The following is a 27,070-nucleotide window of genomic DNA, read 5'->3' as shown; positions in this document are numbered from 1 at the left end:
AGGCTTCCTTCTACCCATGGGGCCTGAGGGAGAGGCCTCCCGAGAAAGCGGAGGCCTGAAAGAGACCCAGAGAAGGCAAAGGGAGGAAGCGGGCAGCAGGAGACTCGCCCAGGAAGGGAGGAGAAGGAAGGGCTGGGCGGGGCGCAGAGGAGCGCGCAGCTGGGGTTAAAGCCCCATGTTCCTACAACCTGCTAAGCCGGAGAAATGAATTCTGATCCCTCCAAAACCCAACCTCGGAAAATGTGCGAGAGAAGGGTCTCCTTTCAGCGGGGCAGGCAATCCTCCACACCTCCTCCTGACGCCCTGGTAATGCCAGGATGTCCCCAATCTGCTTTGAGGAATGGAGAGATTAAGAATAATAAAAAAATTGCAATAAAATATGTGTGAAGGAGGGGGTAATTGTGGACAAACGCAGCATTCAAATTCATTTTTCAGCTCTTTTACACACCATTTCAATCTTATTTTCTGCTTGTTAATGAGATCTTGTTGCCTGGGCTAGGCAAAACCTTCCAATATCAGGACGTAATTGCACATAATTTTCTCTCCTACCAGTGATTTGCATCAGTTTTTTTTTAAATTCTGGGCTATTTAACACCCCACAATCCCCCTCCCCATCTTCCTGCCTACAAATCTCTCGCTCCCTCCTCCTTCCTCGTCCCTGGTCCAGCAAGACTCATTTTAAATGCCTATTATAAACGCAGTGTCGCCAATGAAGGGGTGGGGGCATGAAGAGGAAGTGATAGGAGAGAGAGGTAGGAATCTCCAGTGTCCACTGTGTGAGTGGCACTGCTCAGTTCCCTAGGGCAAGAGGACTGTCTTGGTCGTGTCTTGCTGAGAGTCAAGTGGTGGTGAGGTTCCTGGGTCCGGCAGACCTGAATTAGAACCCCATCTCCATCACTCACCTGCTCTGTGACCTTCAGCAAGTGACTTGACCTCTCTGAGCCTATTTCCCCAAGAGTAGGGTTGCTGTGGGGCTGGAATGACTTCAGATAGGCAAAGTGCTTACATGGGATCTGGCGTCCAGTAGGTGTGCCATTGATGGAATGTCTTTTCTTGCTGAACTGGCTGCCCAGAGGCCTCAGACAATGCCAGGAGGGCAGTACTGGGCATGTGCTGTTAAGACGCACCCAGGAGACCCCATTCACAAATAAATAAAGGTAAAGCCTTGAGCTTGATTTCTGTGGGTCTCAGGAGGAAAGAGGAAGCTTGGCGTTTGGGGACAGCGACTCTGAACCTGACTCTGCCATTAATTGCCCCTATGACTTAGGACCTCAGCTTCCCTGGATGGACCACCAGACCAACCTCACCAGGCAGATACAACACAGTAGCATCGTGAGCTCTGGAGCCACTGTTGGAATCCTAACTCTGCCACTTGCCAGATCCTAGCACACAACCTGGCACCTGGAAGAGGCTCCATAAATGTTTCTTAGGTGGTTGGATGGATAGGGGACCCTGGACAAGGAAGGTTTCCTCATCTGTAAAACGAGGGTCACAAGATAACAGCCAAGAGTCAAGGAGGGCAAGTGGGGTCAGCATTCAGGCCCATCGGGACCTGGCCCTCTGTAAGCATGATCTCTGCCATTGCTGTCGCCGTAATTACTAAAGGCACAGGCTGGACCGGAGAGAAGGGTATCAAGAAGCAGGAAAGGACAGAAAGGCTGGTTGGCCGTGATCGTGGTTGTGTGGTTAACTGCACACTTAGAGAATATTCTTCATTAGGTCGGTGTGTGGGGAAATTGTAAATATGTAAATCCCTTTATGGCTTCCTTCGTTTTAAGCTCCAGAAAGGAACAAAGGAGACGATGAGTATGGGACATTACAAAAGAGCACCAGGAGCGGTGCTGGGGAGACAGACGCCCCTTCCACGAGGTCGTGGCAGGAGCCCTCCAGACCCCAGCCAAGGATGCCGCTAACCCAACCGTGTGATTTTCAGAAAATCTCGGGGGAGATTGGGCCCTCTCTGGGCCTCAGTTTCCACTTCCTACTCTGATATAGTTGGCATCTTAAAAAGGTTGGGAGATGAGGAAGTTCCAGCTAACCACACCTCCCAGCCCCACCTGGCACACACCACCTGGGCCCTGAGGAAGCCTCCAGCACAAGGCACCCTGCCTGCAGCCTTCAACCCAAGGGACCCTCGAAACTGGCAGAACTTTTCTCCTGGTTCTTTGCTTGGGATCTCAGCCTGCCAAATACTGCAGCTCTGAATGACTTTCTGATGCCTGTCTTCCCCACCTGTCTCTTGGAGCTCTGTTCCAAGAGAGGGCTGTGCTTCCACCATCAGACTAAGGCATCTAAGGATGAGGGTTTTGTCTCTTCCGTCAGACTATGAGTTCCTGAAGACAGGGGCTGTGTCTTCCCCACCAGACTGGAGATCCCTGAAGGGCCAGCCTTGTGTTCTCCTTTCTGCCTGTGGTCACTACTCCTAAGAGCCTGGCCTGCTTGGGATTCCTAGACAGGGGCTGGTATGAAGGGATGAATCTGCAGGTGTCACATTATTCAAAGTCATTTGCGTTACAAAAGGTTCCTTTCATCCTAAGTCATTTTATGTTTTTAATTAATTAATTAATTTTGAGACAGGGTCTCTCTCTGTCGCCTAGGCTGGCGCACAGTGGCACAATCACAGCTCACTGCAGCCTCAACCTCCCAGGGTCAATCAATCCTCCCACCTCAGCCACCCTAGTAGCTGGGACCACAGGCTCGCCCCACCGTATCTGGCTAATTTTTAAATTTTTTGTAGACACTGGGTTTTGCTATGTTGCTCAGGCTGGTCTTGAACTCTGACCTCAAGTGATCCTCCCACCTCGGCCTCCCAAAGTGCTGGGACTACAGATGTGAGCCACGGCACCCCACCTCTAAGTTGTTTTCTTACAGTCGTTGTCCAAGTAACTGGCCCTCAGCCCGGAGCAGAGGGGAGAGAGTGGGCTGGGGGTTGCGGGTAGTCTATGATCCTAACCCCAGATGAACGTTATCAGGAATGAGGTCTCATGAGCAGGATTCCTTTTCCCTACATCTCTTCAGAAGGACCCAGTGCACAAAGCCAGGGACATGCATGTGCTGAGTGCCTAATCCCTAATCCTATTAGGCTGGGGCTTGGGTGGGTAGGGGAGACAATCAGGGAACCAAGCCTCAAGGGTATCTAAACCTCCTGAAAAGCATTTGCCCATATAACTCAGCTCTGCCTATTGGTCCCTAACCTGAGTCATTGGCCTCAGTTTTCTCATCCACCACATGAGTCGAATGAGCTATTTCCTCCACCAAACTGAAGGGGGTGGCTTCCATAGATGGGGGGTGGCTTCCCTAGATGGTTTCTTCTTGCACCAGCCAATCTCTAAAAAGAGTGCAAGTGAGGGCATTTCTGAGAGGCAGGAAGACAGAACAAGTAACTAAGATTCAGGCTCTAGGCCAGGCGCAGTGGCTCATGCCTGTAATCCTAACACTTTGGGAGGCTGAGGTGGGTGGATCACTTGAGGTCAGGAGTTCAAGACCAGCCTGGCCAACATGGTGAAATTCCGCCTCTACTAAAAATACAAAAAAATTAGCTGGGCATGGTGGCGCATGCCTGTAGTCCCAGCTACTCTGGAGGCTGAGGCAGGAAAATTGCTTGAACCTGGGAGGAGGCAGAGGTTGCAATGAGCTGAGATCGCGCCACTGCACTCCAGCCTGGGTAACAGAGTGAAACCCTATCTCAAAAAAAAAAAAAAAAAAAAAAGAAAGAAAAAAAGAAAAGGAAAGAAAAGGAAAAGATTTCAGGCTCTAAAGACATGGGTTTGAATCCTGGCTCTACCCTTTAAGTGGATTAATATAAGTAAAACACCCAGAGCAGGATCTGAAAGTCAGAAGGGCTCCAGAAAATTCAGCTGTCCTTGTCAACACTGGTATTAAACATACTGTATGCCTTTTAAAATTATATTTTTTGTCTGTCTGACCCTGTTGTACTGTCACCTCCACTAGGACAATATAAGGGTCTTCCTCTCATGTTCACTGATTTATCCCAAGTGCCTAGAACAGTGCCTGGCACATAGTAGATTCTCTATAAATATTCATTATGTTAGTGACTCCCTTCCAAGCCAGGGGGCACGTGCAGAGATGAGATGAGTAAATGGCTTTTCCTTGAGATTCTGCATGGAGTCCTTGATGTTCTGTGGTCCCCACTTCCCAGGCTGGGTTTGAGACAAGGGACTTGGGTCAAGCCACTGGAGGAGGCATGTCTTCCCCACGGTAGTAGCAAGCTGGCCAGCGTGATGCACAGCTAGCTTAACCCGGGTCTGTCCAGGTTCTCGGTAGAGCCACAAATTCATCCTCCAGTGTAAGCCCCTTTGGCTTCTGTAAGAACAAAAATTCCGGCCAGACGCAGTGGCTCACGCCTGTAATACCAGCACTTTGGGAGGCCAAGGTGGGTGGATCACCTGAGGTCAGGAGTTCAAGACCAGTCTGGCCAACATGGCAAAACCCTGTCTCTACTAAATATACAAAAATTAGTTGGGAGTGGCGGCAGGGGCCTGTAATCCCAGCTGCTCAGGAGGCGAAGACAGGAGAATTGGAGGCGAAGACAGGAGAATTGCTTGAACCCAGGAGGCGGAGGTTGCAATCAGCCAAGATCGCGCCACTGCACTCCAGCCTGGGCAACAGACTTAGACTCTGTCTCAAAAAAAAAAAAAAAAAAAGAGAGAGAGAGAGAAAAGAAAAGAAAAAAATTCCTTCCAGTTTTGAGGTCCACATCTATCTGGGCAATGTGTCAGGGACCTGCCATCCTGGGGAAAGGGACAGTGTGCCTACCCCACAGCCCAGCGGGGAAGCTTAACCTGTCCCTCTTGCCCAGGTGAGCTATAGAGAAGCCGGTCCTGTTGGGAAGAGAGGATGCAGGAGGCAGATCTGTCCTCACAGGGCGTCTCCCTGCAGATCCTTATACACAGAGGATTCCTGGCCCCACACCTCCCAGGACCACAGTGATGTGCTGATGGTGTCAAGTCCACCTGCCCAGAGTGAGGAGGGAGGGCAGTGGGAGTCGGAGCCTAGCAACCCCGGGAGCTTTTGTACAAGACCCAGAAACTCCCGCCCTGCTCGCTGCACCCGTCCTTCAGGAAGTGCTCGCAGGTTAACCTCTGCGGTTTACATGCACAGAAGCACACACGGCCTGCCCTGCTGCCCCTGCACCCGCCCTCCTCCAGCAGCTGTTCACCTCCTGGTCCCCTCTGCCCCGGTCAGACCCTCCATCTGTCTTCACACCTTTGATGGGAGCCTCTGAGCTTCTCCGATTCATCATGTCAGCCTCCCAGCCCTGAGGAATGGGCTGGAGGCCTCTCGCTTTTAGCTTCAGTAAAATTCTGGGCTGGGTGGAGGGCTGGGCGTCCAACTTAGGAACTTCCAGGAGAGGATGGAAAACACGTCATCCAACCCTGAAGTCTCCTTGCCATGGGGGAGATACTTCCCCTTGATCCACTGCTCACACCAGTGGGTTGGTTTCCCATCCCCGACCCACACTCTGGAGGCCTGGGGCCCCTTCTTTGCTAAGTCTCTCTTTTGTCCTGTGACAGAGTCCTGTGTTGGGGATAAACCTCAGCCCACAGTGAGACAGGGCGGGCTAGGAAAAGCAGTGGTCATGGAGTCAGGTGCGCCGGATTGTCAACCCTGGCCTGGCCAATGTGTACTGGGGCCCTCCATCTCCAAAGCAAGACAGCTGCACACAGAACCCCAAAGACCCTCTTCAGCTTTCTAAGGACACTCCCCCAAATTTGTTTTGTACCACCAAGCCACGCCTGGACCCTATTCTTGGGTGTGGAAAGCTTGGATCTCGGCAGTGTCCTCCCCCAGCCAGTTCAGGGATCCTGTTGTGACTCATCTCAAGGGCTCTGGAAGGTTAGCACTAGTGAGATGGAGGCCATGACCTTGAACCTCAAAGAAGCCAACTGGGGTCCCCAGGGAAGACATTCTGGCCGACAGGCTGTATTCCATGTGCAGGGTTTAGCTCACCTGGGATCCCAGCAAGAGAGTGGGGTGGCCTGGTGAGGACTAGTGCAGGGGCTGACAAGGTCAGCCAAGTAAGTGGCATCACCCTTCATACTGCGGACCCTGAGAGGGCTTGATACGTCACCATTAGGAGCTCCGCAGGCAGCTGCCTACAGGTACTGGGCACTCACTCTGTGCCAGACCTGAGCTGACTGCCTTCCACAGATCATCTCATTCAATCCCCAGCAACCTTGGGAGGCAAGTACTGGGCTTATCTCCATTTCATAGATGAGAAAATTGAGGCATAGAAAGGGGAAGGGACTTACTCAAGGGTTTTCCCATAAATAAACGATGCAGCTGAAAGGCAATTAACCCTCAACTACACAAATTAATGGAGGCAAACAGAAATGAATCCAGACAAGCAGAAAATTAACATTCTTGGGAATGTTTCAGACAAAGGTTTGTTTTTTTTTTTAATTTACTGTAAGGGCCTGATAGTAAATATTTTAGGCTTTGTGGACCACATGGTCTCTCTTTTTATTTATTTATTTATCTTTTTGAGATGGAGTCTCACTCTGTCACCCAGGCTGGAGTGCAATGGTGCAATCTTGGCTCACTGCAACCTCTGTCTCCCAGGTTCAAGCGATTCTCTCGCCTCAGCCTCCCAAGTAGCTGAAATTACAGGCACCTGCCATCATGCCTGGCTAATTTTTGTATTGCTGTAGAGACAAAGTTTCACCGTACTGGCCAGGCTGGTCTCGAACTCTTGACCTCAGGTGATCCACCCGCCTCGGCCTCCCAAAGTGCTGGGATTACAGGTGTGAGCCACCACGCTCGGCCTTATATGATCTCTTTTAAAACTACTCAATTCTGCTGTGGTGGCAAAAAAGCCACCATACATAAATGGACATGGCTGTATTCCAATAAAACTTTATTTACAAAAAACAGGGAGCTGGACAGATGTGGCCCGCAGGATGTAGCTTGCTGGCCTTCTTTGAATTCTTTCTATTCTCCTTTTAGGTAATGGGTTTCCCATATTAATTACATTGTCCTGACACTGGGAGGGCCAGAGAACTAATATTTACTTGGCACTGATTTCGTGCCAGGCTCTGGGCTAGGTGCTCTGACCTGTTAGCATATTGAATGTGGCAAGCACCTCTTGTTGAGACGTTAGTTACAGACTCTCTTTGTTTAATAGGGGATAAACTGAGGCTCACAGATGCTGACTTGCCTCAGAGACCCCTGAGCAGTAGAGCTGGGATTTAGACCCATTCCACAGGCTTCACTGTTCTGCCACACTATGGCTCTTCAGATCAGTTTGGATCATGTGCAGTGGATTCTCACCACAGACATGTGGCAGGGGGCACTTCATCCCTTCCCCCACGGATATTTGGGAGCCTGCTGAAGCTACAAAAAAATGAGCCCATCAGTTCCTCAAGTTCATTGGGACTTCCGGCATTATCAAGTCCTGTTCCCCAAACTCACCAATAACCACCATCAGCGCCCACATTATCTCTCTGACTTCATCCAAAGCAGGTCCTGTGACTTCTAACAGCACCCCGAGGCAATGAATGACTTAACCAATCACACAGGAGCAAACAGAATTCCATTGACCAATCAGGGTAGAGTTACCGGCCCAGAACCCCATCCACAATTCTCTCCACCAATAGGACATGGTCCTGCCTTTCAGGAATTGGTCACTCCTGGTGAAAAGCCAAGAGCACAGGACAGAGTCCAGGGAGGATTCCTGATTCTAGAACAAAAACCCCAACCGCAGTCAGCCTGCTACAGGAAAGAGCGCAAGGCTTCCACCCACGTGCTGTCTGCAGATGTCTGACTTTCGTGGCGGTGGGATCCTGGGTGCTGGGCTGAGACCACCTACCTGAGGAGACAGGCCGTTGCTGACCGGGTTCATGTGGTTGGAGGGCGCCGCCGGATTCATGAAGCTGTCAGAGTAGCTGGAGAAGCTGTGGCGGGCTCCGTAGGCAGAGCTGGTGTCGGCGGCTGCAGCCGCTGCAGCCAGCCCGCCCTGGTGCATGGTGGACGGTGGCAGGGGCTGAGGCCGGTGCACAGTGCTGCCCCCATCTGTAGAGAGACCCAAGAGAGGTCCTAAGCAAGTGGCCTCATCCTGGACGCTGGGCCTCTGAGAGCAGAAGGCAAGCCAAGAGACTCCTCCTCCCGGTCTCCATTCCTTGGAGGGAAGGGACCACCCTCTCATGCTACCTGGGATGAGACAAGTTGGCTCCTGGGCAGGGCAGTAGGCACTGGCCAGGTCTTGACTGACAACCCAACATTCTAGACAACCCCTAGACAGGTGCACACCAGCCACTGTTCCTCAGTGCTTGGCACACAGTAGGTGCTCAATAAATGTCAGCTGGGCTGAAAACCAGACCTTGATGGGGACTCTGTTAATCTACCCAGTCTGTTTTGTTTTGTGAGCGTCAACCACTTGCCAGGTGCTTTTACAAACGCTGCCTAAGGGTATGAAGCAAGACTGTAAATCCCATTTTACAGATGAAGAAACCAAGGCTTGGTGGGCTTGGGGCACTCACACAAGATGACCAGGCTAGTGAGTGATGGGACCAGGATTTGAATGGCCTAACTCTGGAGCCATCTCTGTTCTTTGCTGCTAGGCTGTTATTCTGCGCTCTCTGGGCCCTTCTGTGCAGCTTTGCAGAGGCTGGGACCCTCAACACTGGTTCAATTTATCTTACCAAGTCACAGTGGTGCTGGAGGGGGCTCTTTGACTCTTTCCTTGGCCTCCAGAACTCCAGCCTGCCAGTCATTTAAGAGGAGGCTTTATGAGGTAGCTATCTTTTTTAAAATTTAATTTTTTTTTTGAGATGGAGTCTCACTCTGTCGCCCAGGCTGGAGTGCAGTGGCGCGATCTGGGCTCCGTGCAACCTCCGCCTCCCGGGTTCAAGCGATTCCCCTGCCTCAGCCTCCTGAGTAGCTGGGATTACAGATGCACGCCACCATGCCCAGATAATTTTTTTTTTTTGTATTTTTAGTAGAGATGGAGTTTCACATGTTGGCCAGGCTGGTCTCCAACTCCTGGCCTCAAGAGATCCGCCCGCCTCAGCCTCCCAAAGTGCTGGGATTGCAGTTGTGAGCCACTGCGCCCAGCCCATGAGGCCAATATCAAGTAGTGGTATTCCTGGTGTGTGCTGGGACAGGGCTTCTGGGGTGACAGAATGAGAGCAAGTTCCGGTGAGGTAGGGGGAGGGAACCCTTCTTCCCCTACAAGGCTCACCTTCTCTCCTGAGACCCAGACTTTCCTTTCCTCTCCCAAGGCCCCCTGATCCCCTATCCTCTCTCACCCACTCACCTTCTTCCCTCTGCCTATCCCTTTCCAGCGCTAGAAGGGAATCTTATACTTCAAGCCACTGGGAGAACTGGGCTCAAGTGAGGCCTCCTTCCCAGGAGGACCTGAGGGCTCTGACCCCTCTCAGCCCAGCCTGGCCTAGGGCTGTTCACCCCAGAGTGGGGGGAATCCCTCATAGGGAGCTTTCTCAGGTCCTCAAAGGAGACCCTGACCTTTATTCCATCTCTGAAAATGGATCTTTCCAGAGAGAGGCAAGAAAATGAGGTCCCAGCAAATTATTTAAGCCCCTTTGTAAATTTTTTTTTTGTCATAGGTTGGAGACCAACATAATCTAAAAAAAAAAATGATTCCAACATGATTCCAACATCTTCCCAACAAGTACACACACACGTGCACATGCACACACTCATGCACACACTCACACACTCATTCACTCACTCATACGCACACACTCATGCACACACCCACACACACTCATTCACTCACTCATACGCACACACTCATGCACTCACACGCACACACTCATGCACGCACTCACACGCACATTTGTACTCATGTCACTCTCTCACTTTAAAAACTCAAAGACTGTGACTATGCATGGTCCCAAAGTCCCTGCAGAATCCGTTCCTTTCCCTCCAAAGCAGGTCAGCCCAGTGTCCTCTCCTCCAAATCCTCGCTGCTCAAAGCCTGGTCCATGCTCCACCAGCTTGGGCATTCCCAGGGGGATTTTTAGAAGTGCAGAATCTCAGGCCTCACCCAGACCAGCATTTTAGTAACATTCCTGGGAGATCCCTGGTACCATTTGAGAAGCTCAGTTCTAAACAGGTGCACAGGGGCTGCCTTGGGGATCCCACCTGGCTGCTCTGTGTCAGGGCCAAGAATTTCAAGGGCAGGATTGCATCTTTTTGCTCTCAATAGCCTGCTTACATGAAAGTAAGAAATGGTCATAAAAAAAAGAAGAGCCTTTGTAAGTGAAAGTAAAGAAAGAAGGGAAGGGGCACCACTGAGATGGCAGGACGGGGCCAAGACACTCACCTTGGGAGATGGTGGTGGTGGGGTAGGTGGAGTCCGGCAGCTGGTAGGGGGGCAGCGTGGGCATGCCGGTGGGTGGGAAGCCTCCTGGCAGAAGGTGGTTGAACGCCGCCAGCTGGTTGGCTCCTGCCTGCTTACGCCAACGGGCGCGGCGGTTACTGAACCAGACCTGGGAGGTGGAGAGCAGAGAATGGAGACCCCTCGGCCAGGTTCCTGGCAGAGAGCTGCAACACATGTAGACCCAGTTGCCCAAGCCATCACCCTCTGATCCAGCCAGCATCCTCCTGCAGGCCCCGGCATTGTGCAGCACAGGACGCTTTGCAGAGTGATTTCATAGGTATGACCCCATTCTGCCCTCACAACCACCAGTGAGGGGGTTCTATATTATCCCCATTTTACAGATGAGGAAACCAAGACCCAAAGAAAGTGGGTGACTTGTCCATGGGCCAGGTTGAGTCAGTGGTCCAGCCAGTCCTGTGTGGCTCTCAGGCCAGTGCTCTTTCCTCTGCAGCTGCTCCTTCCTGGAGGGATGCTGGTGCCCTGCTTGACCACCTCCTCCAGGAAGCCCCCCAGGAGGAAGCCACGCATCTGCAACCCACCTGAATGAGACCTGCACTTCAGACCCAGATGTGCAAGCCGGGTTCTTTCTCTGGAGACTGAGGCCCTACTTTGCTTACACACCCTGGGCCTCCTTGAAATAGGAAACACACACACACACACACACACACACACACACACACACACGGATTTATCAAACATTAGTGGGATAATAACCCAACATTTTTGTCTCCCCTTCCTGTGCTGGCACTTCACGTATCAATCCATACATAGACCCATGAGACGTATTCTCCTATTCCCATTTTACAGAAGGGGAAACCAAGGCTCACAGAGGTCAAGTTGCTTGCCCAAGTCCACACAGCTAGTCTGTGTTGGAGCTGAGGTTCAAACTTAAAATCAGTCTGGCCGGGCGCAGCGGCTCACACCTGTAATCCCAGCACTTTGGGAGGCCGAGGCGGGCGGATCACGAGGTCAGGAGATTGAGACCATCCTGGCTAATAAGGTGAAACCCTGTCTCTACTAAAAATACAAAAAAATTAGCCGGGCATGGTGGTGGGCGCCTGTAGTCCCAGCTAGTCGGGAGGCTGAGGCAGGAGAATGGCGTGAACCCGGGAGGCAGAGCTTGCAGTGAGCTGAGATCACGCCACTGCACTCCAGCCTGGGCGACAAGCGAGACTCTGCCTCAAAAAAAAAAAAAAATCAGTCTGGCTTTCTAGAGCCCACTTATCTGGATTTGCAAGTTTCCTGGGACAGGTCAGAGAAAGAGGAGAATGAGGGTGCACACTGGGGCTGCCTTGAGGGGGCTCTTTTCCACCTTCAGCTTTGCACATGCTGTTCCCTCTCCCCTGAACACTCTTCCTGCAGCTGGCTCTTTGGCCTTCAGAGCTCAGCTGAAATGCTTCCTCCTACTCCTACTCCTTAATTGCCGCATCTAAGGTGGGTTCAGGTAGGTTCTCTGCCTTCTGTCAGGTGGGCCTCCTACCTGTGTGCTTCCCCACAGGATCAATGATTCTATATATCTGTTTCTTGGCTGTGCTGCTCCTAATGTCCCCCTCAGACTCAGGCTCCACGGGACAGAGGCCATGCATTCCTTGCCCAATGCCTGGAGCTCAGTAAGTGTTCAAGGAATACTTGTTGAATGAATGAAGGAGTGAATGACGAATGAATGAATGAACAAGGGGAGGCAGGATTGGCACTGGGGTGCCTTTGCTGGGGCTGGGGCTACAAGGCTTGGTTGGTGTTCCATCCTGATGGGGGGTGAAGGCCGCCACCTCCCCTGGCACCTGATCACCCAAGACCCCCAAATCTCTGGGCCGTGTCTGCTGAGATGGGGGAGGGGAATGCAGCCAGGTGGAGGGCGCTTATGCACCCCTAGAGCCATCCTTCCCGGGTGGGAAAAGCAGCGTTCAGCTTGCAGGCTGGATAAACAAGAGCTGCCGGCTTTCACCTGTTGAGGTTTCACAGAGAAAGGGAGAGGAGGCAGCCAAGCCTGGAGGAAAAACGACTGGCTCCCGATGGATTCAAAGCCCTGGCTTCTCCCCACTTCCACAGGGCGCCGAGGGTTTCCCCGGGGCACCCTGGAGTGGCAGGGATGCTGGAGGGAGCCCTGCAAGGAATGGCCTTGCCTCCGAGCTTCCAGGCTCTGCGGGAAGGGTGTGAGGAGGTCTTTGTACTAATTCAGTGTTTCCCAAACAGTGGGCCTCCTGCCACTGCTCCCTGTTGGAGAAACAGAATTCAATAACCTGGACATGAGGATGGGAAAGTTATTCCATTCCACTTCTCTCCCAGGCCTCCTGGGCATGGAGAAGGGGGGAAGAGGGGTCTCAGTTTGGTGCTAATGCATCCTCAGTGCCTTTCTAACCTGTGCCAATCTCCCTTCTGAATGCAGGGAGAGGAGGCGTTTGCAGGTGACATTTTCCTGAAAGGCTTTAATCATGTTGTTTTGTTTTCCTTTGTGTGTAGTGTGTGTGTGTGTGTGTGTGTGTGTGTGTATTTTAACAATTGCCTTCCCTTTATGGGAGTGTTGTGCATTTTTATTTTAAAACACTTGATTTCGTTGAAAAGTAAATAACAATATAGATAATAGGTGAAGGTGGCGAACATCTTGGGTGGGTGGGAGAGCGATGGGCATTTGGGATATGCCACTGTAGTTTGTCATGTAGCAGCAGGTCCTTAGGTGCCGCTCATCTTTTCCTCAAAAAAAGAATGCTGAATAAAGTTGGATGCATTCTTCCTCCTTCCCTTCCCTTCTAATCCCTTCCTTTTCTTTTCCTACTCTTCCCTTCCTTCTTTATTCCCACCTTCTCCTCTCAAACTTTTACTGGGACTCCTCTCTGTGCCAAGCAAGACAGGCTAGAGAGATGGACAGGACCCACTCCTAGCCCTCAAACTGCCCTTTGCCTGGGCACGAGTCAAAGAGCAGCTGCTTTTCAGTGCAATAAGCTCAGATGGGGTGACATGCAAGGTTGGGTAAGGAGCTCAGAGGAGGGGCTTCCAACTTTGCCTCTCAGAATCCAGGAGGACTTCCTGGAGGAGAGGGCATGCCTTTGTTGCCAATTCTGTCATCTCTTCTTCCTTCATTGTCCTATGTCCCTAGGTTCACCTCCTTCCCAGTAGGCACCTCCCTTCTCACTAAGTGTAACAGGATGGTTGACAGCAGGGATGCTGGAGTCAACTGCCTGGGATGGAATTCTGCCTCTAACTCCTAAGATGGGAAAATTTTTGTTATCCCAGTTTCTTCATAAAATGGGGCTAATAACAGCCACCTCCTAGGTGGTTCTGGACCTCAAATGAGCTAGCACAGGCAACATGCTTAGAACAGCGCCAGCCACAGGTAAGTATCATTCTGCTGGAGACCCTCTGAGATAGCTGAGCTGGAAGGGTCTCTGCCAGCGTCTCGTATGAGCTGCCCGTTTACAGAGAGGGAAATAAACGCTCTAAAAGGGACAGTGACAGCCCCAGCACCCTACCCAGAATCTCTGGTCAGGACTGAGTTCTTTGAAAGCAGGCGCTGGGTTTTATTCTTCATTTCTGATCCTTCTCTCAATACCCTGCGCTGGGAGTAGGGTACAGTTGATGCCATCTGTGTACTGTGTCCAATATTCCATCTGGCCCTTCTCTTCATGTAGCACAGAGGAAACGAACCTGAGCAGATAGACTTGGGTTCAAGTCCCAGCACAGTCACTTTGAACTGTATCTTTTTTTTAAGTTTTAGTTTTTGTGGCTACATAGTAGGCATGCATATTTATAGGATAGAGGGGATCTTTGATATAGACATATAATGTATAATAATCACATCGGGGTAAATGGGGTATCCATCACCTCAAGCATTTACCCTTTGTGTTACAAACAGTCCAATTATATTCTTTTAGTTATTTTTAAAGGTACAATTAACTTATTATTGACTATAGTCACCCTATTGTGTTATCAAATACAAATACATCTTCTTTATCCTTATTCCTTTTTTGAACCCGTTAACCATCCCCACTTCTCCCCTCACCTCCCACTACCCGCCCCAGCCTCTGGTAACCATCCTTCTACTCTCTATCTCCATGAGCTCAATTGCCTTAATTTTTAGCTCTCACAAATAAATGAGAACATGTGAAGTTTGTCTTTCTGTGCCTGGCTTATTTCACTTAACATAATGACCTCCAGTTCCATCCATGTTGTTGCAAACGACAGGATCTCATTCTTTTTTATGGCTGAATAGTACTCCACTGTGTATATGTATAGCTGTGCTTTAGGAAGTTACTTTCCTTAGCTACATCTCAGTTTTCTCATCTGCAAAATGGAGAGAAGAATCACACATACCCCGCAGGGTCATGGTGAGAATTAATAAACATAACACACGTAGACTGGTGAGCCATCATGCCTGGCACATAAAAAATGCACCATGAAGGCTGGGTGCAGTGGCTCATGCCTGTAATCCCAGCACTTTGGGAGGCCAAGACCAGCAGATCACCTGAGGTCAGGAGTTCAAGACCAGCCTGGCCAACATGGCAAAACCCTGTCTCTATTAAAAATACAAAAAATTAGCCAGGCATGGTGGTGGGCACCTGTAATCCCAGCTACTCGGGAGGCTGAGGCAGGAGAATCGTTTGAAACCGGGAGGCGGAGGTTGCAGTGAGCTGAGACTGCGCCATTGCACTCCAGCCTGGGCGATGAGTGAAACTCTGTCTCAAAAAAAAAAAAAAAAAAAGAAAAGAAATGCACCATGAATGCTACCTAGTGTTATTAAGAGATTCAGTGTAAGTTGTTAATTAGTGAATCTCTGTAGTGCTTCCACAATGGGATTTCCGTTCAGAACATCCCACCCCTACCCCAAGCACAGAGCAGGGTTCCAAGGACGGTAAAGTAAAGAGGCGTTGTACACTGCCCTAGTTTCCTGGTGCTGATCATCTGAAGGATGGGGAAGTCATCAGAGGCAGTCATGGGAGAGGCCATGGGGTGACCTTGGGACCTATTAGCCCTGCAGCCTCTATTTCTAGAAGAAATTCACAGGCTCAGGGTTGTGGCACCCAGGAAAAAATGGGTCTGTTCACCTCTAAGGAAGATATATGTATCACTCCAGAGAAAGGAGTCATGGGTCCCCAGGCATGGGTTCTCCTGCCTGACACCCCCTTGGCTGCCCTTCATGTGGCTCTGGCTTTCTCCTGGCTGAGGCAGAGGTGTTACAGGCACTGGTAACATCTAGCAGGCTTCAAGCAGAGGCTCCTGGCCCCTGCAGGAAGGCAGAGCTTGAGGGAGCCAGAGGGGATAACAGGCCACTCTTTGGTGACCAGATCCCCACCTGACATCATGTTTACCTGTGCACGTATTTATGAGAATGCCAGCTTCAAGACAGCAGAGCTTTTTGCCCAGTGAATCCCCAATGCCTAGAACAGCGCCTGGCACACAGCAAGTACTCTGTAAATGACTGCTGGGTGAATGTACCTGGAGCTGCAAAGGTGGCTAGAATTGGAGCTGCCAAGAACGGGCAGAGTTTTAGTAAGAACAACCCCCATTTATGGCACTTCTGTGTGCAGGTACTTCCTCTTTTTTTTTCTTTTTTTTTTTACATGTAATCATTTAATCCTCAGAGCAAGGTAGACATCATTATCATCATCTTGCCTGTGAGAGATGGGTGGAGGGTGGAAAGGGTAAGACATGGAGCTGGAATCCACATCTAGGTATTTGGCTCCAAGCCTACCCTGAACCAATCCACTAACCCACCCATCTGCCAGGTCCACTGAGATGAGATATTATACGATTGGAAAATCCCAGAACCACAGACCTTTAGAATCAAAGACCAAGACCTAAAATGTATGAAGCCATACAATGTAAGCAGTACTCAGGGGGCTTTGAGGTCATAACTCAAAGACCTCAGGGTCCCTGATTGACTGGACATTGTGCTTTTGTTTGAACACTTCTGGTAATGGGAATCTCATCACCTCACAAAGCATCCCTGATTGTCAGTAAATAGGGATCCCAGAAATGTAAGGGTCTTAGTAATTGTTGAGTTCCATCCCCTTATTTGCAGACAGGAAACGAAGTCTCAGGAAAGGAAATTGACCTGTTGAAGGTGACACAGCTGACCAAAGGCAGGAACCCTGAGCTCTCAGTCCTGAGCTCTTTCCTGGAGACCTTCATGTTGGACTTTAGATGCTCCTCTCTTGACCCTGGCCCTGGGTTAACCCTTTGGGGATGCTCAGAGCAGCTGTATCTTTCAAGTCTCCACTTCTCCAGGCTAAATGTTCTTGATTTATTTTATTTTATATTTATTTATTTATTTATTTATTTATTTATTTATTTATTTATTTATTTTCGAGACAGAGTTTTGCTCTTGCTGCACAGGCTGGAGTGCAATGGCATGATCTCGGCTCACTGCAACCTCCACCTACCGAGTTCAAGCGATTCTCCTGCCTCAGTCTCCCGAGTAGCTGGGATTACAGGCATGCGCTAGCATGCCCGGCTAATTTTGTATTTTTAGTAGAGACAGGGTTTCTATGTTGGTCAGGCTGGTCTCAAACTCCCGACCTCAGGTGATCCACCTGCCTCGGCCTCCCAAAGGGCTGGGATTACAGGAGTGAACCACCGCACCAGTCCGTTTATTCTTTAAAAACTCAAACGTTTTTTGTTCCCTCTTCTCTGAGAAAGCTCTCAGGCTAAATGGGGAGATCCAGCCCTGCCCTGGGAGAGATTCTGGTCTAATGGGGAGTCCCTGCCCTGCCCTAGAGGGAGCTCCATGCACTGGGGAAGCCCAGAGTATGATAGGAAGTCAATAAGACGCAGGAGGCGGGCCCCGCCCCCTCAGGATGGCTTTGCCTGGGCTCCGGCTGCCTCTCCATTCCCAGACCCCCTCCCTCCGTGGACCTTGAGTGACACCTGTTTCTGAGTCCCCTGGGCCAATAAAAGCACTGCTCTGACAGCCAGGAAATTTTACAAGGAGCAGTCAGGCTTCAAGGTGGTGGGAAGCCGCCGTGGCCGCCAGACGTGGGAACGAGAAAGCGCCCAGGAATGTGCCCAGGAGAACAGCTGCAGGAGGATCAGAGCGGGAGGGAGGCCTGGAGCCAGCTCGGATATCACCTCGGTCAGGAGGGGAGGGAAAGAGATGAGCTGGCTGCTGCCTCCCGCCTCTTTCCCCTTGGGGTCTCCCTCAAAGGAAGCGAAGGACCCCTAATCTGGGAGTGAGGACAGGGGGCGGAGGGGTGTCCGCTGGGTCCTGGAGTGCTGAAACGTCCCTTGCTTCTAGGATTGTCCCAGTTGCTTTCAAATTTCAGCTTGTGACTCAGCTTGTTCATTTCCCTGGATGGAAAGGACGTGGTTTTTGCCAGCAGCTGGGCCTGGCTCAGCCCCCATCCAGCTTGTGCCCCTGGGCATGTTGCTTCTCTGAACTTCCAGTTTCTGCACCCGTGGCTTGCAGGGGGTGACCACGCTGACCCGACAAGGTGGTCTGAGCTTCCACTAGGTCACGTTTGAGAAGCAGCCCCAGCAATGCCACTGGCACCAAGTGGGTGCCGGGCAAAGGCTGGCTCCTCTTGGATGGAAGTGCCCGCCGTCAGCAGTTTGGGGTGGCCCCTCTGCAGGCCGCTCTGACTCCCTGAGCACTGCTTAGATTCTGGTAATGGGGATCTTTCCCCTCTCTCTATGCCTCCCAATCCATGCAGAAGACAGCCAGGGAATGGATTCCCACAAGAGCCGTTCATCACGACTTGTCCCGGCTCTTCCTCCTCCATCCCCAACCCTCCAGCCTCAGCCCTTTCCAGCCAGATCCCCAGAGAGGCTCCTGCACTTGGAGAACAACTGTAGGCCTCCTGGAATCCGAGAGTTTGGCCTGGGGAGGTGAGGCAATGTCCCCAGGCCCCCTACAGCAGGCCTTTGCCCCTCAACCCACTGACAGAGAGCAGGCGGGGCAGTCCTCGAGCCATTGGGAGGCTCTTGCTCTTCTCCCCTCTTCCTTCCCATATATTGAGGCCATGGAGGGGATGTTCAGGGTCTTTGGGGGCTGCCCACCCTGCCCTGAGGCATCTAACCTGCCAGGAACTGGCCTACCCAGCCTACGTGCATGCTTCCGGTAACAGAACACTCATCATCCATCTGAGGAAGCTAGGCTTGTTTGGAAATCTTCCTCCTGATCACTTCCTCTGCTCATCAGAGATTTGGAGATTCTTATACTCCCCAAACCCTCTCTTCTGGCTGAACTAATGCCCTCCCTCCCTCCCTTCTTTCTTTCTTTCTTTTTGTGAGATGGAGTCTCGCTCTGTCACCCAGGCTGGAGTACAGTGGCGCAATCTTGGCTCACTGCAACCTCCGCCTCCCACGTTCAAGTGACTCTCCTGCCTCAGCCTCCCGAGTAGCTGGGATTACGGGTGCCCGTCACCAAGCCCAGCTAATTTTTGTGTTTTTAGTAGAGATGGGGTTTCACCATGTTGGCCAGGCAGGTCTTGAACTGCTGACCTCATGTGATCCGCCCACCTCGGCCTCCCGAAGTGCTGGGATTTCAGGTGTGAGCCACCACACCTGGCCTCCCTCCCTTCTTTCATTCCTTCTTTTGTCCTTCTTTCCCTTCCACCTTCTTCCTTTTCTTCCCCCCTTCCCTCTATCTCTCCCTTCATTCTTCCCTCCTCCTTGGGCTGTCCAGCTCTCAGTCAACCAACATTTGCTGCCAACTAACTCTGCATCAAATGCTGGTGGCATTACTTGCCTACACAACCCCCTGAACCTGTTGTAAACCCCCCGAGGGGTCCCATTAAACCCACTGACCTTGGCCATCCCAAACTTCTGAATCTCTGGAGTATATCTGCAGCACCGACACCGCAGGTGCCTCCTCACCTGCACACGCGCCTCTGTCAGCTTGGTCCTCTGCGCCAGCTCCTCGCGGGTGTATATGTCTGGGTAGTGGGTCCTCTCAAAGGCCTTCTCCAGCTCCTCCAGCTGCTCGGCCGTGAATGTGGTCCGACTGCGTCGCTGCTTGCGCTTCAGTGGGAGGTCAGGTTCCGACTCCACATCCGAGCCCTCGTCCAGCCGGTTCCCTACAGCCGGAGGAGAGGGAGGGAGAAGGCAGGGGCTTAGAGAGATGGAAGGGTGCCGGGGTCTGGGAGGAGAGCACAAGGCACACTCGTGCCCACCTAGGACCCATGACTGCACTTCGATCAGACTCCTCCCAAGCACAAGATAGAAGGATGCTCACCCTAGCATTGTTTATCAATGTGAAGGATGGGAAGCAACCTCCATGCCCAACCCTAGAGTATTGCTTAAATACTTTCTTGTAAAACCTTTCCCTTTAGGGAAAAACAAACAAACAAACAACAACAAAACAGTCCCCTCTGGTTGGGCATTTTGTTTATTTCCACTGACATGCAAGGATGTCCATGACATAAGACTCAAGGGATGGTTTCGTGGTGAGATACACTTGACAAAATCCGTAGAGCTGTATTCTCAGTTAAAAGGACAGAATTTTACTGTATATTAACTATACCTCAATAATCCTGACTTTAAGAAAAAGGCCTCCATGTATGGTGGCTCATGCCTGTAATCCCAGCATTTTGGGAGGCTGAGGCAGGAGGATTGCTTGAGCCCAGGAGTTCAAGACCAGCCTGGACAACACAGTAAGAACCAACCTCCAGAAAAAAGTAAGAAAATTAGCTGAGTGTGGAAGTGCATGCCTGTAGTCCCAGATACTCAAGAGGCTGAGGTGGGAGAATCGCTTGAGCCCTGGAGTTCCAGGTTATAGTAAGCCAATCACACCACCACACTTCAGCCTGGACAACAGAGCAAGACCCTGTCTCATCAAAAGAAAAAGTGCACGTGTCCAGAGCTGCCCATCAAGAAGCTTAGATTCCAGGCCTGGCTCTGCTCCTAAATGCTGGTGACCCTGGGAAGGCCACCTCCCCTCCTCGGGCCTCACTTTCCCCATTTGTGACATGAAGGGTTTGGATTAGGCGACTTCCACTGACAAGCTCTCTCTGGGATGTCCCAGGGTCTCTGAGTGATTCCCCCAGGCTAGAGGAGACCTCACCTGAATGACCTTGGTCAAGGCCATGGACCCCACCCCATTATCCCCACTAATTTCCACCATGGAGACTGGGGGTGGGTGAAGGCCTGTTGCTTCCTGGGCCTGGGCCTGGAGAGCCCAGAAGGTTGGAGTCAGCTCACTTCCCAGGCCTGGTTGGGGTTATCAGGCCAGGAATCTGCTTCAGCCCTGGGCCCAAGCTAGGGAGGCTGCAGGAAGCCCCTGCTCAGCCTCCTTAGCTGTTGGGGCTGAGACACCCAGGTATCAGCTCCCTGTCCCCATCAATCCTGTGGCTCCTGCCCACGTCTGACCCAACAGAGGGGATGCTAGCAGGGCATCTCCCAGCCGGGGCGCTGAAGCTGCCCCTCAGCAGCCCCTGGGGAGCTGCGGGAAGCATAGAGAAGAGGAAGCAGAAAGGAAGATGGAAAAGAGAGCAGACACTCAGAGGCTACCTTCCTTCCTCCCCACTCCTCTTCCTCCTTTTTCTCTTTTGCCTTCATTTCTTTCTCCCCCTTCCTCTCCTTCTCCATCTCTGGTATTCCTGGAAGCACTTTTATTTTTTGTCATTGACTCATTCACTCCTTCCCCTAAAGCATTTATTGAGTATCTGCTATGCACCTGAAGAGGCTAGGTATGCAGTGGGCAAGGTAGGACCTGAGCCCTGGGCTTGGAGCATTCAGCCTGAGTCAAGCTAGAAGATCTTGGGAGACCTTGTGCTCGCATCAGAGATGGGAGAAGCTGAGTCCCAGAAAGGTAACGTGAGGTTCACTCAAACTGTGCTCCCCGCCCCTGACCCCTTCCACCAATACAAAGATCCCTTCCTCCCAATCGCTTCAAGTGTTAATTATAGGAATAGGCCTAGGCCCCTCCCCCAAGGGGCAACCCCCTCCTCCCCGCAACAAAAACAAAAAGAGAAACTAGTACTGCCTTACATGTTAAGTGGAGGTGAAGGGAAGGGCACTGCAGGCAGACAGGAGAGCACATGCAAACGCCTGGTGTGTCAAAAGGCATGCTGGGTAATTTAATCATGGTGCCACATTCATAGCCAGGAAGCTGGTGGGTATGGCCCGGATGTGTGAGAGGTCATGCGCCTGGAGGGTCATCCATCTTGGCAATGCCTCTCTGCCCTGGGCCCACTTCCTTCCATCCTGCTATCTTGTCCGTTGGAAAGTTATCCTTGCTTTTTTTTTGGCCAGTGCCAGGTGGTCTCTGATGGTGACGCCATGCCACACAGCGAAGGAATGGATTGCAAGGGAGTCCTGCCTTCATCATGGCCTGGCTCATCCCCAAGGGCAGAGACCTGGAGTCAGATCTAACCCCTGCCCTTGCTTTTCCTGCCAGGGCTCTGCCCTGGCCTTTCCTGCCAGGGCTTCCAGTTACCCAGCCCCCCAGTCACTGTGGGGAGACCACAGTGGGCACAGCTGCCATCCTGGGGCCCCTTCCCCACCATTTCTGGGGCTCAGAGCCAAATACAACTAATGCCAAGGATTCAATTCCTGAAATGCAGTGCATAACCTCAGTGTTCTGACGGTGACAACGGAAGCCAGCCCTTGGGGCTTCAGAAGAAGGAAGCAGGCATTTGTCTGGCAGGCAGCGAGGCCAGCCCGTGGATGGGGAGTGGGGCACCAGATTCAGTTCTCCAGTGAGGACACTTGAGCTCAGACAGGAGCTGAGGCGGATGGGGACTAGAGTTGTAGGGAGTGCAGTCTCTGGGCAGAGACTGTCCTCAGAGCTGTGAGGTCAGAGATGAGGGCAGACACAGGCCCTACCCTCAGAAAGCCCCAGTCTGATGGAGGAGGCACAGCCTTGTCCTGGGGGAAATCCTAGTCTTTCTTATTTATTTTTTATTTTTATATTTTTGAGATGGAGTTTTGTTCTGTCGCCCAGGCTAGAGTGCAGTGGCGCCATCTCTGCTCACTGCAGCCTCCATCTCCCGGGTTCAAATGGTTGTCGTGCCTCACCCTCCCGAGTAGCTGGGACTACAGGCACACACCACCATGGCCAGCTAATTTTTGTATTTCTAGTAGAGACAGGGTTTTGCCATGTTGGCCAGGCTAGTCTCGAACTCTGGTCTTGAACTCCTGACCTCAGGTGATCCGCCTGCTTCGGCCTCCCAAATTGCTGGGATTACAGGCATGAGCCACCATGCCTGGCCTGGAAATACTAATCTGACTGAGTCTCCATTCAGTTCTAGAGCAGTGCTGTCCAATAGAAGTTTCTGCGATGACGGAAACGTTCTAGATTCGCAGTGTTCAATGTGGCAGTACTAGCTACATGGGGTTTTGAGCACCTGAAACTTCCCTACTGCAACTGAAGAACTTCGTCTTTCATTGTATTTAATTGTAATTCAAATTTGCATAGTCACACGTGGCTGGTGGCCACCACTGAGGCCAGCACAATCCGATACAGTCATTAACACAGTTGTTGTCTCTTCTTAACAAAGAGAGGGCAGGCCCCACGCTCACAACTTCCCGTGTGCTAGTCTCTAGGTAGAATTTAACAACGTTCCTTGTTTTTATGCTATTTATGGTTTTTATGGTTCCCATCTATTTACAGGAAATGATACTCATTTTCCATTTATAAGAGCATTAGTATCCTTGAATTAGTTTTTTAAAGGTGCTTTTAGATATAGTAAAATATTAAGGAAATAATAGGACAAGATATAGAGTTGTGACCAAAATCATGACTGCAGTTAGCAAAGGACCAACATTTGCTTTATGCCACTGAGAGATAAAATTCAAGTGCTTCTGCCAAGCCCCGGGCCCCAGTGCCCTCCCATGCTTCAGCTGATCCCTGGGTCCTGCAAGTCACCTGCAGCTTTCTAGACTCACCATGGAGTTCTGGGTCTAATTCCTTCCTGTCTCCTTGTCCCTCCCACTCCTTATTCTGCAGGGATCTGGGGAACTCCGTGGATCCAGAGAGATGCCCAGACCGAAGCCCAGACTGGGGAAGGCCAAGCAGGGCCCACAGATCTCTCTTGTCCGAAAGGATCTGGCATGATCCTCTTGGATGTTGGAGGTTGCCATAACAACCCTCTGGACACTGAGTGGGGAGGGCAGAGCTCTGTCTCACTGCCCACCGAGATCCAGAGAGATCTCAAGAGAACAGAACTGCAGTTTGTTTGTGACTTCAACCCCTAAAAAAGAGCATCCACTACCCGCCTTGGCCAAGCTCAGGGGAAGAGACCCCCATTTTAGAAACCTCTGTGCCAGCCTTCATAGGTCTGTGAAGCAGGGACTATTGACTCTTTTACAAATAGGTATACCGAGGCTCAGAGAGGTTCAGTCACTTGGATGGAGGACACACAGCCAGTGAGCCCTGGAGAGGGATTGGCGGGAAGGGACAGATTGGGAAGGAGTTTGAGGGTCCTCTGGGACAGCCCCGGTCTAATCAGGAATCCTGGTCTCGGCAGCCTGAGACCTGGCTTGTGGGCTCTGTCTTTCCCTAGCTGTGTGGTCTTGGACAAGTCGCTCCCCTTCTCAGGACCTTGGTTTTCTCCGCTATAAAAATGAAGATAACAATACACCCTTGTATGCCTCCCTCCCTGGATGGCTTTGAGAATGGAATGAGATAAAGATGATGGGGCCTGGTGTGGTGGCTCATGTCTATAATCCCAGCACTTTGGGAGGCTGAGGCGGGTGGATCACCTGAGGTCAGGAGTTCAAGACCACCCTGGGCAACATGGTGAAACCCCGTCTCTACTAAAAATACAAAAATTAGCTGGGCATGGTGGTATGCGCCTGTAATCCCAGCTACTTGAGAGGCTGAGGCAGGAGAATCACTTCTATCTGGGAGGTGGAGGTTGCAGTGAGCTGAGATCACGCCACTGCATGTCCCCCAGGGCAACAGAGCAAGACTCTGTCTCAAAAAATAATAATAATAATAATAAAATAAAATAAAGATGATAGGAGTAATTTGCAACTTCAAGGACCCATGAAGGCTATTACTATTGTTGATGATGAGGACAATGACGGTGGTGATGACAGAAAAGGAAACGGGGCGGGGAGTACAGGGTCAAAGCAGTGTGAGAAGACACAAAGAGCCCCAATGCCACCACATCAACCTCACTTCAGCTTCCTGCACCCCCACTCTCTTGGGGTGCCCTTCTCTCTCCCCACCCCTGGAAATCCTTTAGCCTCAGAGTTAAATTAATCAACAGGATTAGGTGGAATTGGCCACAGAGGCCCTGCTGGTTGGGGCTGAGTCTTCTGTGTACCAAAAGCAGGTACCTTGGTGAAGCCTGGGCAGCTGGTTCGAGGAGGGGGACGTGGGGGGAGTGAACATGGGAACGCATTCATTAAACGGCAGCCAGATTCGGGGTACGCAGTAGGGGAGCAGCCTCATGGCCAGCCTGGGCTCCTGCCCTCGCACTATCAAACAGCTAAGGAATGGGATGGTCCCAGGGGGTGCTGGTCTGGAGATTGCCCCAAAAGAGAAGGATACAGGGAGAGATGCTTTCTCTGAGTTCCTGGATCCTGTCTCTAGTCAGGGATGTGGAGCAGTCCATACTGAGCAAAGGAGAATTGCAGCTCCTACCTGAGAGACCTCCCAATCTCATGGGGGAGAAACAGCCTCTGTTTTAGGAAGCTCCCAGTCAGATGGAGGAGGTATCACCTTGTCCTGGGGATTTTCCAGTCCAGTGGAGGAAACACTGCCAGATGAACCGGGGCACAGGACAGACGTAAAACATCAAGGCAGCTTGTGGCTCGTTAAAGCAGCAGAGCCTTAGGACAGAATGAGGGGCGGAAGGTGCTGGGAGCCATTTGCGTTGTCAAAGCTTTGGGGTGGGCAGGAGCAAGTTGGCCGGGCAAAGTCCGGCCCAGGCTGAGGTGATGGTGGTGATGGTGATGGTGATGGTGATGGTGATGGTGATGGATGGAAGGTTGCTGGGGGCAGCTCCCATCATCTCTCCCCCAGCCTTTGCCTCTCCCTTCAAAGCCTCCTTTCACAGCTACTGACCTCTGGAAGCCATCACTGACTGCCAGCATGTGCCAGGAAGCCTCAGCCACGCCAGCAAGGCCTCAACCACTATGGGCCTTGCCCATGTGTCCCCACTCACCTTGCCATCCCATACAGTTCCCTGTCCAGCCACTCATGGCTTCTGTGAGTGAGTGAGCCAGGTGGGTCTTGCTTTGACGCCTTTGAACATGAGCTTCCTCTGCTCAGAGTGCCTTCCCTCTTCCTGGGAGTGCTCACCCAGCACCATCCAGCTCTTGGGCCACCTCCCCCAGCAAGGCTTCCTGGGCCCATCCAAGGTGATTTCAGTTCCCTTTCTTGGCGTTCTCAAAGCTCATCAGGAGACACTGAACTAGACTGTTTATGGGTCTGTGGGTCTCACTGGTCTGGGAGATCCTTGAGTGCGGCAGGGACTATGCCTAGGACACAGCATGTGCTCAATAAAGGCCTCTTGAATGAATAGAGCTTGACAGAGCTTGGCAAAGTCTCTCTTAAACTCTGACACACTGCAGCAGTCACCCCCCGAACTTGCACACAACACTCTACAGTTTACAAGCCCTTTTGTTGTCCCAACAGTTTCTCCCAATAAAGGGAGGGGAAGGCAGGCAGTGTTATCCCCATTCTACAGATGTTCAGTGGAGTCTCAGGGCAGTGGGGCTGCAAAGTAAACCCAGGACTCAGGACTCCCAGCCCGGAGAAGGCCAATATGGCTACAGCAAGTTCCCGGGTGATGGAAAATTCCATTTCTGGTCCTGAAAACCAACGTGGCTTCTCTTCCATCCCCAACCTTTCCCTCCTCCCTCTTTTGCCAGAGGAAAAGCCTTGAAATAAGGTGGCCACAATCTCTGAATCTACCCAGCTCACAGAGGACCAGGAGCTGACCCATTTCTAAATCACCCATCCCGGATCAGTGGAGGCCGGCAGTGGCCCTGAGGTTTGGGGTCCTTCTCTCAGCCTCCCTCACACCCTCCGGAAACCCTCCCACCCCTGCTTCTGCGCTCCCCTCTCCCGCAGCCTCCCAACCCAGCTTTTCTTACAGTTTAACATAGGCCCCGGTGTTGAGCTGCGGCAGAGAAACGAATCACATAATAGTTGATATGCGTTTTAATCAAGTAATTCGGGCAGAGCTGAGAGCTGGCGAGTGTGGGCCAGGCGTCTCTGAATACCAAACAGGCCTGGGCGCAGGTCTCAGAAAATGGAAAAGTCATTTACAGCTCAGCTGGGGGCCCGGCAAGCCGGGACCATGGCAAGGGCCCTCCCTGCTCCTCCGAGGGAACTGCTCAGCTGTAACCAGCGCACGGTGTACGGGGCTCGGGCGTGGCTGCGGGAGTCAGATTGCACACAAGGACAGGGCGACGGAGGAGCAGACTGAGAGGCAGGGGCTTGGAATCCAAGTTAAACCTCCTTGGGGGCCCAGGAGAGGATGAAGCGTCCCATTACAGTCCACCTCTTCTGCTCACACTCCTTTTGGGAGCTCATCTCAGCATTGGGCACCATACCCAGCCAGCACTGTCCTTCATCCCCTCCTCTCCCTTCACGCCTCTCATGCAGCTGGCCCAGCACTGAGGCCAGGAGATCCCGAGTCCCTGTTAGCTTGGAACCTGTCCTGGCATCCGCCCACCCCATCTCTTCCTGGACTCCAGCCACCACCTTCTTCCCCAGCAATGGCAGGGCTTTGCAAAGGCTGTGCCCTCTGCCCATGCCCTGTCCCACCCTCCTCATGGCCTGGTGAACCCCTGCAGTTTGCAGCGGGTCAGGCCAGG

General features: G+C 51.8%; 1 protein-coding gene across 3 annotated transcripts in view, besides 1 other annotated feature; it reads right to left on the bottom strand.

Annotated features, from left to right (window-relative positions):
- The window catches only part of PAX7 (paired box 7), a 118,021-nt gene that overhangs the window by 37,742 nt on the left and 53,209 nt on the right, over positions 1–27,070 (bottom strand). For all 3 annotated transcript variants that reach the window (NM_001135254.2, NM_002584.3, NM_013945.3), the window contains exons 5-7: positions 19,172–19,371; positions 10,307–10,472; positions 7,829–8,031 (exon numbers count right to left, since the gene is read on the bottom strand). In NM_001135254.2, coding sequence (NP_001128726.1) covers positions 7,829–8,031; positions 10,307–10,472; positions 19,172–19,371 — 569 coding nt within the window. The remainder of the gene's footprint in view (positions 1–7,828; positions 8,032–10,306; positions 10,473–19,171; positions 19,372–27,070) is intronic.
- Positions 18,759–19,258: an enhancer, noted in NCBI's record as "H3K4me1 hESC enhancer chr1:19018361-19018860 (GRCh37/hg19 assembly coordinates)". NCBI's record gives its function as "activates a minimal SCP1, AML or CMV promoter by ChIP-STARR-seq in primed H9 embryonic stem cells {active_cell/tissue: H9 hESC(primed)}" and the evidence as "EXISTENCE:reporter gene assay evidence [ECO:0000049][PMID:30033119]".

This window comes from Homo sapiens, chromosome 1, assembly GCF_000001405.40.
Source record: "Homo sapiens chromosome 1, GRCh38.p14 Primary Assembly".
NCBI lineage: Eukaryota > Metazoa > Chordata > Mammalia > Primates > Hominidae > Homo > Homo sapiens.
The sequence above is the reverse complement of the archived record's forward strand: the minus strand, read 5'-3'. Positions and strand labels throughout refer to the sequence as shown.